The following is a 19545-nucleotide window of genomic DNA, read 5'->3' on the forward strand; positions in this document are numbered from 1 at the left end:
GAAACACAAAAGCCCAAAGCATCAAACTCAACAAGTCCTAAAATTACCGCTTGACTACGGAGAGGGCTCAGAAGGCTCCAAAGACCTGAAACCTCATCTTGACCTTCCTTTTTCATCCACAAAATGAGGAGGTGGATGGGACAGTCTCTGCCAGGAGCCCTCTGCACTCAGGCAGTGGGGAGACAGTGCCTGAAAACGTGTACCACCCCTCCAGCATAAAGCAGTTTTTAAAATATTTAAAATACCACTTTTTATTATCACATACTTAGATAAGAAAACTAGCAAAGCACATAGGTCATCTTAACCTTAAAATACTCTTAAAATAAAAACATCTGAACATTCAAAGGAGTCAACCCGAGATGATCCCAGATCATAAAACGTATCCTCTCCAAGACCGTGTGGGTGTGTATTCCAGATTTTTTAATGACCTCGGCAAAATGCAAGAGCAGCCCAGAGACCACCATGTAGATGGTAAATAGTGGCATTGTTGCAGCTGAATGTCAAAAACTATTTTCAGAGGAAGCGGCACTAATGATTCACAGCTCCCTGATGAGGCTGCATTCCTAAGTCCGGGACCAAGACCAGCGAAGGTCGCCGTGCTGACTGCTGCTGCACTTCCAGGGGAGAACACCCTGGCGATGCTCTCCTTCCTCACTGGGGACAGAGGGGACGTACACGGCACCCAAAGGGACGGCCTGAAACAGGAAAACCTGAAAACAGCCCTGACTCTGGGTGGGCCACTCCAGCCCAAGGCTCTCCTCCCCTCCTGGGAGGGCCATTCCTACTCTTAGCTTAGTCCTACTGCACACAGGCGTGACCCCAAACACTGCCTCCACTCACCTGGGGACCGACGGGAGCCCACACACTCTACGAACCCACCTGGCGATCAGCAGGGCCAGCCTTAGGAAGACAATGGCCATGGAGACTGACCTCATTTCTTCCTCAAGGACTGCAATGCACTGGGTAATAGAGGAAGGGAGGGGAGGCCGGAGGATAAGGACACACCGTGCCTCCTGATGTGGAAGCAGGAAGTCAAGTCGTTGCCAAGATGTGGCCCCACGTGACAAAGTGACCAACAGCAACTGAGGCAGCTCCTGGACTCTTTTCCTCTCAAGATTTTGTCTGGACACAGTTTTGGGCAACCAGGGATTCCATGGTCCCACTGAGTCCTCTCCTCTCCCAAAGAACTCCGGGTCTTCTTTCTAGTCTTTCTTCCCTCAATGTCCCGGGACACCGGGCTGAGTGTGGCATCCTCCCTCCACCTCGCCCACCTCTGAGTCCCGCCATAACCTACCCGGAACCTACCAGAACCTAGCATCACTGCACGCCACCGCGGCCCACAGTGAGCCCTGCTCAGAGGCCCACTTCTCCTTAGACATGAGACACTGCACCTGCCAAGGTAATGCTGAAACCAAGGCCTCTGTGAGGAAGCGGGAAGCGGAGGCAGAAACGAAGTGCTATTATTTGGAAACAGGACGTACTGCTGAAAATGCCATACGGTTTATTCCCATTTTTTAAAAAAGATTTTCTGTGGCTTTAAAGTTGACCACACTCTCTCTCTCCTTAGTGACTAATTCAATCCTGCAAACCTTGCCAAAACAATAAAAATGTAGTGGAAGAACTTTAAGTAGAATTTAGCAGTTAAATTCTACTACTACATGACTTTAAAATTATATATAAATTACACATATCTAAAATCCTTCTCTGGCGGACGCCAGGCTCCTAGGCAGCAGGGAGAGGGTATCGTTCATCTTGCCTAGCAGCACCACACCCAACAGACGTCTGTTCAATCAATCAATCGATAGAAAGATGCTAGGACTAAGGAAGAGAAAAGGATCCAGGTTTCCCATGCAATCCCATTATCAATCAACCAACTACATTCACTTTATATGACTATATTAATAAGATAAAGTACATTTTTTGTTTCAAAAAAAAAATTATGTCATGACTGGTTCAATTTCATCCCCTCGAATACCTCAGCACACCTTAACGCCCACCCCCAAATATCTGGGCTGCCACGGTTTCCTCCCACCGGAACTGATTTTATGCTAAGATATATGTTTTCTTCATCTAACCCACTTTGGGCAGGGGTTCAATGTGACTGTATAAAACTAAAATTGAAACAGGTCTTTAAATGATGACGTAAAAGCCAATAATATTGGTGAACAAGAAAAATCTTCACGAAACCTCATGAACAAAAATGTCCCAAGTCTTCACACAGTTCTTATGTATTCAAGACTAGTGAACATCTGCTTATTTAAAAGGTTTCGTTAAATGTTTTTTCAAACTGATACAATATTTAAGCAGTTTGTCTGATTACTAAACAGTTCAAGAAATTTCATGTCACTTTTTTTAAACAAACATTGGAACAAAAAGTTTTATTCTTGAGAAATTCTTAGGCCATCAAAACATTATCTTTTACCCTTACTCAAAAACTTCACTTTAAAACTGTATTTCTTACAGAATTTTAAAGACTAACATGTACATATATAGATTCCTATGTATTTACATTAAATTAGTGAAATCCTTCATTGTTGTTTGGCTTTCAGCATTACCAATTGTTTACAATCCAGTTGTTTAAAAAAGCCTACTTATTCTGAAACAAGCCATTTTCCTACTTTCTTGAACAGCATACTAGCATATCCTGAAGTACGATTTCACTGAAAAATAATCTTATTTAAAGTTGGGATACCAGTTCCACGTGTTATTTTCCTCAGCTGGGTTTCAGTTTATTTTAAGGGTTTTCATCCCTAAAATGTAATATAATGTCTTACAATTTAGCTGATCACAGAACAAATGCCCTCTGTCACTATGTATACCAGCTGGCAATACAGGCAATGCTGAATGTACACAGTTTTCGTGTCTCTGGTGATTTTCAAGAGTTACACAGTAAACCACAAACTGCTATTTGAATCTACATACTACTGTCGATCAAAATTCTCTTTTCAGGTTTTCTTTAACTTTCTTCACCCGAAGAAGGTTACCTACTTCATTAGCACTGTAGTTGTTTAAAGGCTCAATTAAGAATAATTATGTGAAAGATAAACCAATAAATTCTAAAATTTGGTCTTAAATTTCTTAAAATGACATAAGTCATGAGAAGAATGGGCCAATCATGTTCGCACCAACTATGTGATATTAAACACATAGAGAATCTGGCTTTTAATCTATTTTTCAAATCAAGTGATACGTGTGTGCACACACAGACACCACACATTCTTAAATGTCTCACCACAATGGATCAGCTCTGGGTTCTAATACAAAAAAATAGTAGTTTACACTGGATGCGGTGGCTCACGCCTGTAATCTCAGCACTTTGGGAGGCCGAGGTGGGCAGATCACCTGAGGTCAGGAGTTCAAGAGCAGCCTGGCCAACCTGGTGAAACCCCATTTCTACTAAAAATACAAAAATTAGCCAAGTGTAGTGGTACATGCCTGCAGTCCCAGCCACTGGAGAGGCTGAGGCAGCAGAATTGTACGAACCCAAGAAGTGAAGGTTGCAGTGAGCCAGGATCGCCCCATTGCACTCCAGCAGCGTGGGCAACAGAGCAAGACTCCGTCTCAAAAAAAGAAAAAGAAAAGAGGAAAAAAGAAAAGAAAAAGAAAATAGTAGTTTAGAGCTAGCTGAGAAGAGCTCTTAACAGAACAGAACTGATAAGGCGTGAGTGTTCCCAGAGCACTTATTCTCTGGCCAGCTCATGTGTGTGACAATGGCCTGGCACTGACGGTTGTCACGGCAAGCCCGGCTGTGGCTTTGACACCCATCTAACTTTACTAGATGTGAATTTTCCAACCACTAAGTGCACGCCTCTGAGCCATCGCCTTAGACTGTAAGTAAGTGGATGTATATTCCATGATCAAGGGGGTGCAAAGAGGGCACAGCCAGCTCTCAGCGGTGGCCATGCAGAACCTGCCTCTCCGTTGGATTCTGCGGAGGTGGGTTCTGAAGTGCAACGGCTGCAGTGGAGGAGTCGGGGTTCTCGGGGAAACAGCCGTGGAAAGAGCCTGTTTTGCTGTTTGAACCAAGTTACCTCCTGCCCAGGAAAGAATGCTTCTAAATACAAGCTTACTGCAAATTGCATCTCTCTCACTTCAACTGCATAGAGAAACCGGCTCAAAATGCAGCATGTCCTCAACAGAGTTCAGGGTTTCTGATTCAGGATAAGTCTGCACCACTCAGGTTCCGTGAGGCATAAATGAGGCCCTGGGTCCCTTAACAATGTGTATCTTCGAAAGTTAGCATCTCTCTTACTGTAAAAGCTACAGGTTTAAATACTTGCTTCAGTTCCAACTACCAATTACCTCAGTTTGCAAATGAGTCAATATACTGTTAGCAACTGTTTTCAATAGCTGGAAATGAAGTTCATTAATTTATACTAACAGAGTAAGCTGTTTCTAACAATACATCCTCCTGTACTAAGTGTGCAACTGTTTTGGAATAAAAGGTCAACTTGTAGCACACAGAATCACTAAATCTTACTGAAAGTGAAGGAAAAACTCTCAGGAAACACAAATGTTCACTTAGTAATGAAAACCACTTTGCAGTAAGACATTTTAAGAAAATCATGTTTGGAAACCACACTTTGGTCCTCCTTGGAAGAGGCGGCCGGTTCCCCAGGCAGGACTGCCCCTTTTCGTATCGCACACCAGGAATGAAGCGCCCTGGCCTTCACCACCTTTAGACAAAGCTAGTGATGCTCCCCAAGTCTGTGAGAATGCTGTGATGTTCTTGGGCAGAGCCTACGCTGAAATGTCGCCCATGCTTTACACCATGTCAAAGGTCATGAGATTTTTCCATTAATAACCAAGGAGGTATAAGTTATCCAAACTTACTGTTTGGGGGTTTGGGGATTTTAGTCAAATATTTAATCCTGTTTCAAATAAAACTTTAATCCAAGCACAAATATTAGTTCAGGAAATTGTGATTTGGATTTTCTGCAGGCCTTCAAGAGCCAGAAACCAATAGTTCCTAGTTTAGAATTCATCAGAAACATCTCTGAATAGTCAATGTGAGGACCATCGCCTACACACCTAAGCCTTTACAATAGTTGAAGCTAAGGTTTAAAAGTCTCATATAAAATAAAACCTTGAGAAACTTCAGTAATGGCGAAAAGCAAATTGAAAATACCCATTTAAAACACATTCTCCCCCTTCTTAAATTCTGCCTCCTTCCTCATTGATTTTAGATAAAAGAACATATCCTTCTTTCATTTCTCCATTGTCCCTCCTCAAATTAAAGGGGGGAGGGACTTTAATCTCAAATTACCGCTGTTGTTAATAAGCAAACAAAAAAGAAAAAAAAACGAATGCAGAAATATTTAGCTGTTCTCATGCCTGGGAAACATAACCCAAAGACCTCCATAAATAACTTGGAGAATACAGGGTCAGGGCGATCTGGGATATTGAGAAATAAACAGATTTTCACAATGCTTCTCAGCTTGCAACCATTTGATGGTTGCTGTGAAGTTCTGAAATGAAACTTGGCAAATGGTCTCAGTGAGATGCCTTTGAACTCCGAATGCCTCGATGCCGCAGCGGCTACTGAACGGCTCATCTGGTCCCTTATTCTCAACTTCAAAGAACAGGCTCTCCCTGTCCCAGGCAAGGGCAGAAAGCTGGGTGCACGATTTTAGCTTTAAATGTTTTACTCTACACTCCTCCCGGCTCTTTCAACATTTTATTAACCCATGAAAGCGTGGAAACCAAAGCTGTAAGAACACCGCCAGGAATCTTGAGAAACTTTTAAAATCTCAAAAGTCTTCTGCCTTCAATAACGGGGAAACATCAATGACTTTTGGTTTTTAACCAAAGATATTTACAAGTAATTTACCAATTTTTCTAGCACATGCTTTGTAAACATATTTAAATAGGTATATAATCCAAGCACGGATTTTTACCTTAATGTATCATATTAAGTAATCTTCCATAAAAACCTATTTCAGAATTTACATCTGATACTGCTTTGTTACTGAAAGCCAAGAAGTAATAAAACTTCAAAGGATTTTTCTCCCTTTTTGATGTAATTAACTATATTAACTTGGTAGCTTTCAATTAGAGAAAATACCACACTCAACATTTTCTTACTATTCCTACAAATATATGTATCATTTCCTTTATGGAATTACGACTACCATTGAGTTTCTGCATAAGTTTCAGAAAGCCCTAAGTTAAGAAATATTTAAATCATCTAAACCTCTGAAAAATGATATTTAAATATACAAAATGCAAAAGAGTGTCACTTATTAAATGTGAGATTCCACAATTTTGCTAGTTATCTTACAAAGGATTCTCGGCCAGAGGGTCAAGTATAGCAGTGACGTTTTAAAATTGAATTATAAGTAGCTTTTTCGGTAAAAATAAACGTCAGTTGAATATGAGGATTCTACGTTTCTCCTTCTCACTGCCTGTGGCAGCCCCACAACTGTGTTTCCCCACCACATCCATTCACTGTCAACACACACTGTAACAGACTGTAACATACTGTAACACATGCTACAACATACACAGTAACATACACAGTAACACACTGTAACACACGCTGCAACACATGCTATAACACACTGTAACACACGCTATAACACACTGTAACACACGCTATCACACTATAACACACTAACATACACCGTAACACACTAACATACACTGTAACGCACTATAACACACACGCTGTAACATGCTGTAACACACTAACACACTATAACACGCTGTGACATATGCTGTAACACACTGTAACACTAACACACACTGTAACACTATAACAAACTATAACATACACGGTAACATGCTGTCACACACTAACACTAACACATGCTGTAACATGCTGTAACACGCTACAACATGCTGTAACACACTAACATACGCTGTAACACGCACTGTAACACACTATAACACGCACTGTAACACACACTATGACACGCACTGTAACATACGCTGCATCCTAACTCCCCGGGTCACTGATGCAAACATACAGGCTTAAAATATGAAAAAAAAACCATTAAGAAATAGAAGATTGTGCTTCTGGGTTACCTCTAAATGTGAAAAAAAGAAAGTGGAAACAATCCTTTAACAATAACTTTATTTTAAATGTAATTATAATCTCAATTTCCTTTTTCAAACGCTATAATGCAATGCAAAGCCGGGGAAAATGAATTTAGTTTTAAAGCCAAAATTGAACAAATGATGTTAAATCCCATTTGCTAGTAAGTAGAAATTAAAAAGCCTTGTGACCTAGGATAAGCAAAGGAATGGAAGCCTGAAGGGCAGAGGGTCTGCAGGGCAGATGGGTGCCCACTTCCTCCAGCCCAAACACCTCATTCCGCAGACGAAAAATGTGAGACACAGAGCAAGCTGGTGCCCAGCTGGGGCTGGACCCTGACAGGATAGGGGTCCACTTCCATTTCACACCATCTCACCAATAAAACACATCCGTTAGGCACAGACACTGTGGGTCGCAGCCACTCCTACTCTGGAAACCTGAGCCTCTAAATGCCAGAAATGGGTTACATCCCCACTTTCTGAGACCCTGGGGGAATTCAGGATTGTCCAGGATTATACACGAGGCTGTATACACGTGGACAACAAAAGCTCAAATGTATTAAGTTGAAACAATGGGATAGAGACAAGTATCTTCCAGATGTGTTAGGTGTATGTGTGTACACTCAAGAGAAAAACATACTAAAGGGACACGTGTATCAAATGTGTATACACAAAGGATATTCGTAGGAAGGTGCAGCCAGACCAAAATATCGTTACCTATGAGCAGTGATACCTTCTTTTTCTTTTCCCTTATCTGCATTTTCTACAACGATTAAATTGCACGTAATATAACAATACATAAATAAAATACTTCAATTTCACAACAGTTGGATATGATCCGGCTGCGTCCCCACCCAAATCTCATCTTGAACTGTAGCTCCATAATTCCATCATGTACTGAGAGGGACCTGATGGGAGGTAACTGAATCATTCCTGTGCTGTTCTCGTGACAGCGAATAAGTCTCACAAGACCTGACGGTTTGATAAAGGGCAGTTCCCCTGCACAAGCCCTCTTGCCTGCTGCCATTAAGACATGCCTTTGCTTCTCCTTCACCTTCTACCATGATTGTGAGGCCTCCCCAGACACATGGAACTGTGATCCATTAAACCTCTTTCCTTTATAACTTACCCAATCTCAGGTATGTCTTTATTAGCAGCATGAGAAGAGACTAATACAAGTTCATGAGAACATATACAATAAAAATACTACTTGTCTCATAAACACTGCTCCTTTTATATTCATTCCCAGCCTGGAAGCCAGGAGTCCCCACTGTGTGTGAGGCCCACGCATGTGGAGCGAGAGGCAGCCCTGGTATTTCTACTGACCTCACACAGGTGATCATGAGGGAGCGACTCCAGGTACCTGGGGATCCCATGGCTCCCACAACAGCCCCAGGTGCTGAGGTGCTTTTGTTTAGTAGGCATTTAATACCTGCATTTCTGTAGGTTTTCACTGTTGGTAGTCAATTATCACTGCTCTTACATCTGCAGTAAGCTTAAGATCTAAGTCAGCTGCTGGAGATGGTGTAAATAAGCTTAAGATCTAAGTAAGCAGCTGGAGATGGTGTAAAAGGTGTAGCACTGCAGATGCTCATTGTCCAAATCTATGATGTCTACTTGACCATCCAAACTCCTCCAGTGTCCTTCTCACCCTCTGGCCCAAAATCTGCTCTCTACCCCCGGCCCTCATTGCTGTCTCTATTTTTTGCTTATTTCTGTAAAGGTCATCTTACCATACACTGAATTCCAGGGAGGTCATTTGTCAAACTGCTAAAATCAGTAAAGTACTAGACTATAAGGAGTAAAGTCAACCACGCTGCTCATTTTAGGTATATATACACTATTCTCAGGACTATTTGTATGTGGAAATTGGGGAGTGGGGCATGTTATTTCGTGGAAAACAGTGGATACTTAAAAAAATATTCTAAGTAGGACAGATGATCAAAAAAACTTGCAGGTAAAAGCAATTCCTGTGGCTGTAAAAGTTTATGCTTCCCAAGCCTCTATTTCACCTTGCCATGCTGGGCTGGGGAGGGGTTACACCTCCTGAATGTGTCATATTCTATATATATAAAAAAAAACAAACAGTATTTATAAACTTGCTGTTCAAAAGTAAAAATGTACTTTCATCAGGAAAGTTTATGCTTAGTAGTGAAATTCCCAGATTAGTCCATGAATGGGTACTTCATCCACAATATCAATAAGTGTAACTGAATTTCCTTAGTGATGTCTTTTGAAAACACCAACAGACCAAAAAATGGATTTGCTTTATAAATCATGAATTTTGGTGGTGCCCAAAAGGAGAGAAATGGAAGAGAACAAACAAGGAGATGTCCCATGATGACTGTGATTCTGAGTTGAGCACCTGGGCGTGGACAATTTCTAACAGCTCCTGCCCTAGAATGCAGTGTGCGCCTCCTGCTCAAAGATCAACATGCATCCCAAACACCACTCTTATGCACAATATGTATGTTCAGGGTCAACTACTGACACGTTTACAAAGCAAGATGAATTACACTTAGGAAGTCATTCTGCGTTTAGGCTGGTGCATATTGGAAAAGGGCTCTAGAGACAGGGTGTGAAGTCAAGTTCAGAAGTCATAAACCTCCCAAGAGGAGCAGGGCAGCTGAGGCTCCGAGGCTGCTGTCCTGGCTGCCAGAGGTATGGCGGGCTAGGCCTTAGGTGATGGAGACGCTGTGCTGGCAGTTGCTCCAGGGCTTCGAGCTTTAAGGAACAAGTCCCACGTCCTAACTGGTATCCTGGTCCAGTCCGTGAGGCCAGACTTTGTCTCAGAGCTGGAAAGCAGAGCCCGGGCTGAGCCCCCGTGAGTTCTGTGTTTGCAAAGCTGCCACCGGGTCCCTCCCCCTGCTCTCCACAGAACCTGCTAGACAACTCAAGGGTTTGCTTGAAGGGGAAATGGGGCATAAGAATTCCACACTAAGTTCCTGGAGTCTTTTCAAAACATCCAAGCCACAGGGAGCAGGTCCTATGGGTGAACAACATCCCAAAATAAACCTCATGTTTCACTATTACAGAGGGCACTACTTTACACTAAGTATCACCTATGTTTTGCCAACACCTCACATTTCTTTGATTTTACCTACAGTAAGAAAGTGTACAAAGTGCCACAACATAAGTATTTTCAAAGCAAAGACAAGTTTCTGAAAAAGTTTCCACAGATCTGAATCACACAGCGGGCCGGGTCTGGTGCCCAAGTCATCAGGAATTTCTCTGCCTCACACATGGATCAAACTGTATGACTCTGGCCATTTTAAGGCAAGTGTTTTGTTTTGTTTTGTTTTTTGTTTTTAATCTTAGAAATTAAATAATGCACCAGACTACCAGTGAGTATTATCGTTATTTTAAATATCTCCATGGCTACATGAGCAAGTGAAGGTAAATCCCAGAAAAATTCAGCCAGGGTATCTATGCTAGTATCACCCAATTGGAATTTGGTAGAGTTGCCTAGAATTCAGGAAGACACTACCATCAGCTAGAGATGTGGAGGACAAGCACTAAATAAGACACAGTAAACTGTTCCTGGAAAGGGCCCTGACCCAGCAAACCAGGAGACAGCTCCTGCCACAGCCACGCAGAAGAGCCTGCGGAGAGCGGGCCGGTCCCTCGGCACTCCCTGCACTGCGGCAGTAAGAAGCAGACCACGGTCTCCAGGGGCCTGACGGATGATGACCATGTACTCATACACTCAGGCTATGGAGCAGAGCTGCACCTGCAAACACGTGACTGCCCTAACTTTCCGGAAGCTAAATGTAGGATTCAGAAATATAGGTCAAAAGACAGTTAAAACAACAAGCACAACCTCAGAATTAAATCGACTAATTATGAGGCAGTTCTAAGGCTATAAGAGAAGTAGGACTCTGTATTTATGGAGAGATAGAGAATTAAAAGATACCCAGAAACCACCACTTAAACAGAAAGGGGTTATGAAGCAGACATACCCTAGCACAGAGCAAATAAATGGAGGGCTCCAGCCAAGGGGCAAGAAGCAGGGACGGGATGATGGGGGGCAGACATGGGGCACTGGGGAGGCATGGGAGGAGAAGATATGAATTCCATATATCTGGAGGATAGGACAAGCAGAAACTGCATATATTGTGGGCAGAACAGGTTAGAAAGAAATCTCCAATCGTAAACAATGACAAACTGGAATAGATAAGAAAAACCACCTAAATTAATTCTCCTCCATACAAATCCTTAAGAAAAGCAAAGATAATTTATTTCTGTCACCGGTTCATTTTTACCTGATAAAGGAAGACAAGATGTACTCTCAATATCACACTGAGCTCCGCAACTCTAAATCTTAATGCGTCTGGCCACCTGGAGTTTGCATGGAGACCCTGGGCTGTGCACACCGCAGGACTCTCACCTGGAACACTCGGAGACCCCAGGATTCAAGCACTCTGCAGCTGGCAGCACAATCTAACAGAGACCCATTAAAACGGATGTCCACAACACAATTTACACGCATTCTTTACAAGGGAAGGGATGCATATATGTTCCCAAAAGGAAAACAGCCACAAGTTTTACAAGCTAGGAAAGGAAAAGCTGCACAGATCAAATGCTAGGGTTCATGAAGTTCCTGTGTGGAGAGAAACAACACAAAGCCCTTCTTGCGTGTTCTCGTTAATAAGTCCGCAATGTGAACTGACAGTACCTTGCCTCAAACACCATTTAAGCAACAAGACGTGACAAAACATATGCTGGCAGGAGATAAGGCTCATCCCTGAAACACACGCAGGTGAAAAGGTTCCTCCTGAAACACACACATGCAGGCGAAAAGGTTCCCCCCTGAAACACACACATGCCAGTGAAAAGGTTCCCCCGAAACACACGCAGGTGAAAAGGCTTCCCCGAAACACACGCAGGTGAAAAGGCTCCCCCGAAACACACACAGGTAAAAAGGCTTCACCCCTGAAACACCCACACGCAGGTGAAAGGGTCCCCCCGAAACACACGCAGGTGAAAAGGCTCCCTCCTGAAACATACACACGCAGGTGAAAAGGCTCCCCCGAAACACACGCAGGTGAAAAGGCTCCCTCCTGAAACATACACACGCAGGTGAAAAGGCTCCCCCGAAACACACGCAGGTGAAAAGGTTCCCCCATGAAACACACGCAGGTGAAAAGGTTCCCCCATGAAACACATGCAGGTGAAAAGGCTCCCCCAAAACACACACGCAGGTGAAAAGGTTCCCCCGAAACACACGCAGGTGAAAAGGCTCCCTCCTGAAACACACATGCAGGTGAAAAGGCTCCCCCGAAACACACGCAGGTGAAAAGGCTCCCCCGAAACACACACAGGTAAAAAGGCTTCACCCCTGAAACACCCACACGCAGGTGAAAGGGTCCCCCCCGAAACACACGCAGGTGAAAAGGCTCCCTCCTGAAACATACACACGCAGGTGAAAAGGCTCCCCCGAAACACACGCAGGTGAAAAGTTTCCCCCATGAAACACACGCAGGTGAAAAGGTTACCCCATGAAACACATGCAGGTGAAAAGGCTCCCCCGAAACACACACTCAGGTGAAAAGGTTCCCCCGAAACACACGCACGTGAAAAGGCTCCCTCCTGAAACACACATGCAGGTGAAAAGGCTCCCCCGAAACACATGCAGGTGAAAAGGCTCCCCCGAAACACACACAGGTAAAAAGGCTTCACCCCTGAAACACCCACACGCAGGTGAAAGGGTCCCCCCCGAAACACACGCAGGTGAAAAGGCTCCCTCCTGAAACATACACACGCAGGTGAAAAGGCTCCCTCGAGACACACGCAGGTGAAAAGGTTCCCACATGAAACACACGCAGGTGAAAAGGTTCCCCCATGAAACACATGCAGGTGAAAAGGCTCCCCCCGAAACACACACGCAGGTGAAAAGGTTCCCCCGAAACACACGCAGGTGAAAAGGCTCCCCCGAAACACACGCAGGTGAAAAGGCTCCCCCGAAACACACGCAGGTGAAAAGGTTCCCCCATGAAACACACGCAGGTGAAAAGGCTCCCCCGAAACACACGCAGGTGAAAAGGCTCCCTCCTGAAACACACATGCAGGTGAAAAGGCTCCCCCAAAACACACGCAGGTGAAAAGGTTCCCCCGAAACACACGCAGGTGAAAAGGCTCCCCCGAAACACACGCAGGTGAAAAGGCTCCCCCATGAAACACACGCAGGTGAAAAGGTTCCATGAAACACACATGCAGGTGAAAAGGTTCCCCCATGAAACACACATGCAGGTGAAAAGGTTCCCCCATGAAACACATGCAGGTGAAAAGGCTCCCCCCGAAACACACACGCAGGTGAAAAGGCTCCCCCTGAAACACACACACAGGTGAAAAGGTTCCCCCGAAACACACACACGCAGGTGAAAAGGTTCCCCCTGAAAAACAGGCAGGTGAAGTCACAACCTCCCCTGACTCGGAAGGGCCTTATCTCGGAGCCACACCAGGTTCCAGAACCTTCTACATCAATTATACACCCATCTCTCAAAAAAAAGAAAAAAAAAAAGTGAGAGATCGCTTTGCAAGTGGAGGCATGGGAAGAGCCCACTGTTTTACGCCTTTTCCATTTGCCCCGTGGAATCTACAACTAATACGCCAGTAATTCTTCAACAGTGCAAGCACAGGACACAGAATTCCCAAAAGAATGGTGATTGGCCACGGATTTTTTCCACACATATTCACTTAGCATTTTTTAATCAAAACTAAATAAGGCTAGCTCATGCACAGACAAAATCAAGTTACAGCCAGAGGAAATGTGTTCACCAAAGGAACCACATCACAGTGAGGGCTGATACACTCACACACTGTGCGATCCTGACCACTGATTCCCCATCTCTTGTGAAAATCACAGGCCACAGATCACATGCCACTGACAGGGCTAAACATTTCTCCACATCTGGGAAGCCCATGTCTCAGGAAGACCGAAGGAATTCTTGGGGCTGTTTCGATTTTGAATTCAGGAGGTATGCTCATGCAGATGACCTAATGCCCCGTGGTCGGAGCTGTGTCTTTTGTCAACACCTGAACTCTTACCAGACCTTGTCCTGCATTTTTCAGGGTCCCACAAAGCAAATGAAATGTGATGGACCCATGCGGCACTCAAGTCACTGACAACCCACGAGGGGTCGAGGTCCAGGTAAGAGACACAAGCAGAGCCTCGACACAGAAATTCACGTGCAAAAATACCCAGGCCCAACCAAGCTTCCTGCTCTGACAGCTGACGTCGACACCCAAGCAGGCAAACCCCCCAGCGCTGCTCTTCGCGGCACAGGGAATTTCAGACGTCAAATTAACATAAGACTGCCTTCATGTTGCATAGCAAACTCAAGTACGTTCCTTCATCCTAATTCAAGTAACTTTTAGAGAGCTATGTTAGAAAATGCCAGCAGTCACTTTTTTAATTCAAATGAAACAGAATGAAGGTGATTTCTGTTTTCTGTTAAATCTCTATTTCCACAAGCATTGTTCTGACCCTCGATAGAGCTAATCCACGTGTTTAAAGTATTAACAAATGTAAACTGCAGAAAGAAAGCAAACTCTGAAGGGTCTCCCCTCCTCTCCCTCAGCTAATTATTCTTCTAGCCTTTGCTGATATGAGGTAGCCAACATCTCCCATCTAGTAATAAACAAAAGGAGTGTGCTCAACAGGCTTTAATCAGCCAACAAGACCAGACATTTCCCCCATGCATTAAAAGAACATAACCTACCAGAAAAGGTTTACTCACAAGACACTCACCAGCTCAAATACGGCATGTCCAGTTATCTAAAATACAGATTTTCAGATAAATAACAAATGAATCTTCAGTGTAAGTATATCCCAAATATTGCATGGGACATACATAAACTTTTTTTTTAAAGTATTTATTGTTTATCTAAAATCCACAGTTAACCAGGAATAATGTATTTTTATGTACTAAATTTGGCATCCCTAACTTCTAAAACAAACACATTATTTGAATGAATTAAAGAAAGCCGCAAGAGTCCAAAAAAAACTGTGTAAAGGCCGATGTCAACACATACGCATGGATAAAGGGAACATTATTTCTCATCTATGTGCAGCATCATTAGTTCACTGGAAGGAGTGGAAATTATGCACAGGAAATGAAGAAAAAGCTAGGGAGCACCGGCATCATCTCCCAAAAACCCAATCCTCCAGGGCCTCAGTGGCCCATCATCAGTACAGGACAGGGCCTCTGGATGGACAACACTGACCCCTAGCGGCTCCTCCCAGGCAAGCAAGGATCCTGGAACCGAGGCGGGGTCCTTTCCTTTCCGTATGGACAGGTTATGGAGACATCCCACCTCCAAGTCCCAGCCCATGGGTCCTGCTATCTGGGCCCTGAGTAGGGACTGCAAAGGTGAGGATCAGGGTGGAGACAAGAGCCTGAGAGAGAGAACGGGCACAATGCCGGGAACACAGGGCAAGTTCCTAGCCTTCATTTCTCCATCTTCCTGCCCTTCTTCCCTTCACACTCTGGTGGCATGTCATAATACATTATTATATATTATTGGTTTCAACACTTACGACTGGAACCATCTTGAGAAAGTTTACTTAACCCTCTAAACTTCAGATTTCCTATCTGTGTTTTGAGACAAGTGGTACCTTCACCTCATGGGGCTATGCTGGAGGTTTATATGAAATACAGATAAAGCACACAAAGATTGAGTCTATGACAAAGTTACTACTTCAAATCAGTGGAGAAAACATAACATAACCTACCAGAAAACATTCACTCAACTGACTGTTGAATAAATTTTGTTGGAAAAACCAGATCAATATGGGAAAATGTTTAAAGTACCTCACAGAATATATACGAGGTTTTACATGGGTTAACACAATGTGGAATAAAGCAAATGTAATGAAGCAAACTAGATTGAATCAATGAGAATAGTTTAATGGTAGGGTAGAGAATGTCTAAAGTATATGTAAAATCCAAAAACCATAAAGACAATTCTGATGTTTCAGAACCTCTACAATAAAAGACTTCATAAAGTAAAACACAAATGAGAAACCAACAGAACGTATTCAAAACATGAGAATCAAATCCACGATATATAAACAGTTCCTATAAATTAACAAGAAAAGGACAACACATTTTTTAAATGTGCAAAGTTCATGGACAAGTACATCAGGGAAGAAATACAAATGGCCAGTAAACATGAAAACACTCTTATGCTCACAAAAAAAAATGAGAAAATGGAAATTAAAGCAATAAAAATATACCACTTTTTTTGTTTCATAAAGGCAATTTTAGAAAATTTATAATACTAAGAATTATTGAGGGCATGGAGAAACACACACACTCATAAGCTTTTGGTGGACATGAGGATTATTACATTCAAACAGGCAGCACCTATCAAAATATAAAATGTGCAAATTCCTGAAACTACCAATTTCACTTAAAGAAATCCATCATGGTCCGGGCGCAGTGGCTCAGGCCTGTAATCCCAGCACTTTGGGAGGCCAAGGCGGGGGATCACCTGAGGTCAGGAGTTTGAGACCAGCCTGGTCAACACAGTGAAACCCTGTCTGTACTAAAAATGCAAAAAAAAAAAATTAGCCGGGCATGGTGGCACGCACCTGTAGTCCCAGCTAATTGGGAGGCTGAGGCAGGAGAATCGCTTGAACCTGACAGACAGAGGTTGCAGTGAGCCGAGATCGCACCACTGTACTCCACCCTAGACAACAGAGTGAGATTCTGTCTCAAAAAAAAAAAAAAAAAGAAAGAAATCCATCATGAAATCCTCCTAAGTGTTGTCAGCATGTTTACTGCAGCATGTTTACTGCAGCAGTGTTTGTAATGAAATTTGGAAAGGACCTGAACAATGATCAACAGGCAAATAGAACAAGATCACCCTGAACTCCCAAAGAGTCCAAGAGAGGAGAGTCCTCCGCCCACACAGGGAGATTCCCAAGACATACTGTCACGTGGGGAAGCAGGCTGAGGAACAAGACACATCAAATGCGCTTACTACGTACCAAAACAAGAAAAAAATCTACACATACGCTTACACAAGCAAATACATTTTAAAGACCTAGGAGGGTCAGAAGTAAACTCTCAGGAAGAGGTGAGGCCGGTAAGGACAGTCAACAGAGGAGGATCGCTCCTTTCCAAGCACTTCCTCACCATCGGGATTTCTTTGCAATGTGCAGGTGTTCACAAAAGATGTGTGGATGTTCTAAAGGATGAGCAGAACTCTAAAACCAGGAGCCTAGCATGGGTCTAGCCCAGGAAATGGGAGCTCCTCCTGCCATAGCTAGCCCTGAAGCCCACGCAGAGGCCAGGAGGCCGCTCAGGAGGAGGGCGAGCGGGCAGGGCAGGGAGGTCAGCACGAGATGCAGGCTGACCCCGGGGAAGTTGGGCCTTGCCTCCCCCTCTCCCTCCCGGGGACAAGATCAGCAGCACCTGGTAGGGGATGAGGAGTCCTGAGCCAAGAAGATGGGTCTGGGGTCTCAGGTCTTGTCTTGGAAGCCCCTCCCCCAGCACAGGGCATCAGAAAGAGCTGAGAAGTGAAAGATGCAGATGGCACCCAGGGCCAAGGGCCTGAGGGTCCCAGGAGGAAACAGGTGTGTGGGGAGCAACAATGGCACATGCAGGCACATGGAGACTCCTCCTGGCCTGGGATTTTGTCCATGGCCTTGGGACAGATAAAAGACAACAAGCTCAGGCATCCTCTGAGACTGGACCTAGAGCCGTGGCCTCCAGATGCAGCAATCCACGCTCCCCAGCCTCTGGGCTCACTGAGGTGTTTTGTGCTAAGATGCCCCCTGGGCTCCTGACTCTGCCCATTCTAGTAAGAAGAGGAGTAGGGGGAGGAACAGAGGTGCCCACAGTGAAGGAAGACGATGACCAAGGCCAGCAGTGCACAAAGGAGGGTGTGGGTGACCCTGGACACCCTGTGACCAGGGAAAGGTCAGCTTCTTGTCCCCATTCCAGACACGCCCTGCTGGGCTGACAGCTGCACACTGCCCAGGAAACTTCCACAACCACCAGCAGCAGCATCCCCCAAATCAAGACATCTTTAAACTCAAAGAAAAAGATCTTCCACTCGAGAAAGAATAACCAGGAAATTCTGACCCAGAATGGAAAATGATGCGCCGAGCAGTGGCTACGGAAAAGGTATCAAGGAATCCAATGTCTGCCAGACACCGCACGGCTACCAGGCTGTTCTGCAAAAGCAAACACGGTGCCCTTTTGTTACTGAGGTTTCAAAACAACATCAAGAATTTGTTTCTAAGTGGAGTGTAGGCTATCACCATAGAAACCGCAGAGACTCTGTCTTGCTGGTGTGACGCACAACCTGTCCAGAACCTTCTGTTCAGAGCTTCTGAAAATTCCCGAGCCAGTATCTTCCAATTGCTTTTTTCATACCTGAACTTCAGGAACTTCCTGGGCCACCTTCTGGGGGCACCTTTAACTGCATTTCAAGGTTCTTACCAACACATCCCTATCTGTCCATGATGCTTCCGAAGGTTTAGGCCTTGATTTCAGTCTCATGGCCCTGGACCTACCATCTTCCATCATTTTTGAAAAAGTAGAACCCAGTAATATTTCTTAAAAATGAAAAAATTTCAATCCATTCCACTCCTATCATGTCCTAGTCTAATACCGAAATAATCTATAAAAATCACATTCTCATGAGTCACGTAGTAATCAATTTTTAAAAACCAGTGACATCACAGATTAATTTTAAATCAAAGGAAACACAATTTAACTAGTCAGACTGGAAACCTGGCCATCATTTCAATATCAAAAATGTTCTCTAATTGTCCAGTCCAATGAACAAACTATCCCAATAATGTCTATATTGGAATCAATCACTGGATTATCATAGGTACCAACAACCTAATTTCATGACTTTGAAGGCAGCTGCCATTCTCCATCAGGTTTCAGATATGAGATTCAAGCATGTATGTAAGTTTTCTATAGGATGGCCAGCTCAACAAATGGCACCGTGGAATTATCATTTTAAGTGATACATTTCAGTAACCAAGTAGGTTATTAAATAAAACAGTAATTGTATTAAATTTGGAAGAGAATTTATTCATAGTGCTGAACGTAACTATTCTGGAGTTAAGAGAAAGAACATGAGTAACACTCAGATTTGGCACATCTATACAGGAACATATTTGGCAGCTAACAGTTCGCCCAAATGTCTTACTAATCTGTGAAAATACTTCTTTCAAATCAATGGCTTCCTTTGTAAAGAAAGCAGGAGACAAGGCCTCCTGTAAATGGATATCGCTATGTGAACCATGCATACAGAATCAGGTAAAATCTCAGTAACTGGAGTCTTACTTTCTAACCTTTAATCCAGAGACAAATATCCCTAGCTTTTTAAAATTCTAGTAAAATACAGACCTAAAATGGCAATCCATTTTAATATGCAAAGGCTTATGCAAATTATATATGCAAATACTGGATCCTATCAATAGCCGACAAATCCCTCATGAAAAACTAGCCTCAGATTAGGTCCAGCACACAGAAAATTATC

General features: G+C 43.7%; 1 protein-coding gene across 16 annotated transcripts in view, besides 2 other annotated features; it reads right to left on the reverse strand.

Moving 5' to 3' along the window:
* Positions 1-19545, reverse strand: part of ZNF516 (zinc finger protein 516) — a 138738-nt gene that overhangs the window by 53956 nt on the left and 65237 nt on the right. The gene's annotated exons all lie outside the window — the stretch shown is intronic.
* Positions 344-904: an enhancer, noted in NCBI's record as "H3K27ac-H3K4me1 hESC enhancer chr18:74123937-74124497 (GRCh37/hg19 assembly coordinates)". NCBI's record gives its function as "activates a minimal SCP1, AML or CMV promoter by ChIP-STARR-seq in naive H9 embryonic stem cells {active_cell/tissue: H9 hESC(naive)}" and the evidence as "EXISTENCE:reporter gene assay evidence [ECO:0000049][PMID:30033119]".
* Positions 11608-12109: an enhancer, noted in NCBI's record as "H3K27ac hESC enhancer chr18:74135201-74135702 (GRCh37/hg19 assembly coordinates)". NCBI's record gives its function as "activates a minimal SCP1, AML or CMV promoter by ChIP-STARR-seq in primed H9 embryonic stem cells {active_cell/tissue: H9 hESC(primed)}" and the evidence as "EXISTENCE:reporter gene assay evidence [ECO:0000049][PMID:30033119]".

Source organism: Homo sapiens, chromosome 18, assembly GCF_000001405.40.
Source record: "Homo sapiens chromosome 18, GRCh38.p14 Primary Assembly".
In the NCBI taxonomy this organism is placed as follows: Eukaryota; Metazoa; Chordata; class Mammalia; order Primates; family Hominidae; genus Homo; species Homo sapiens.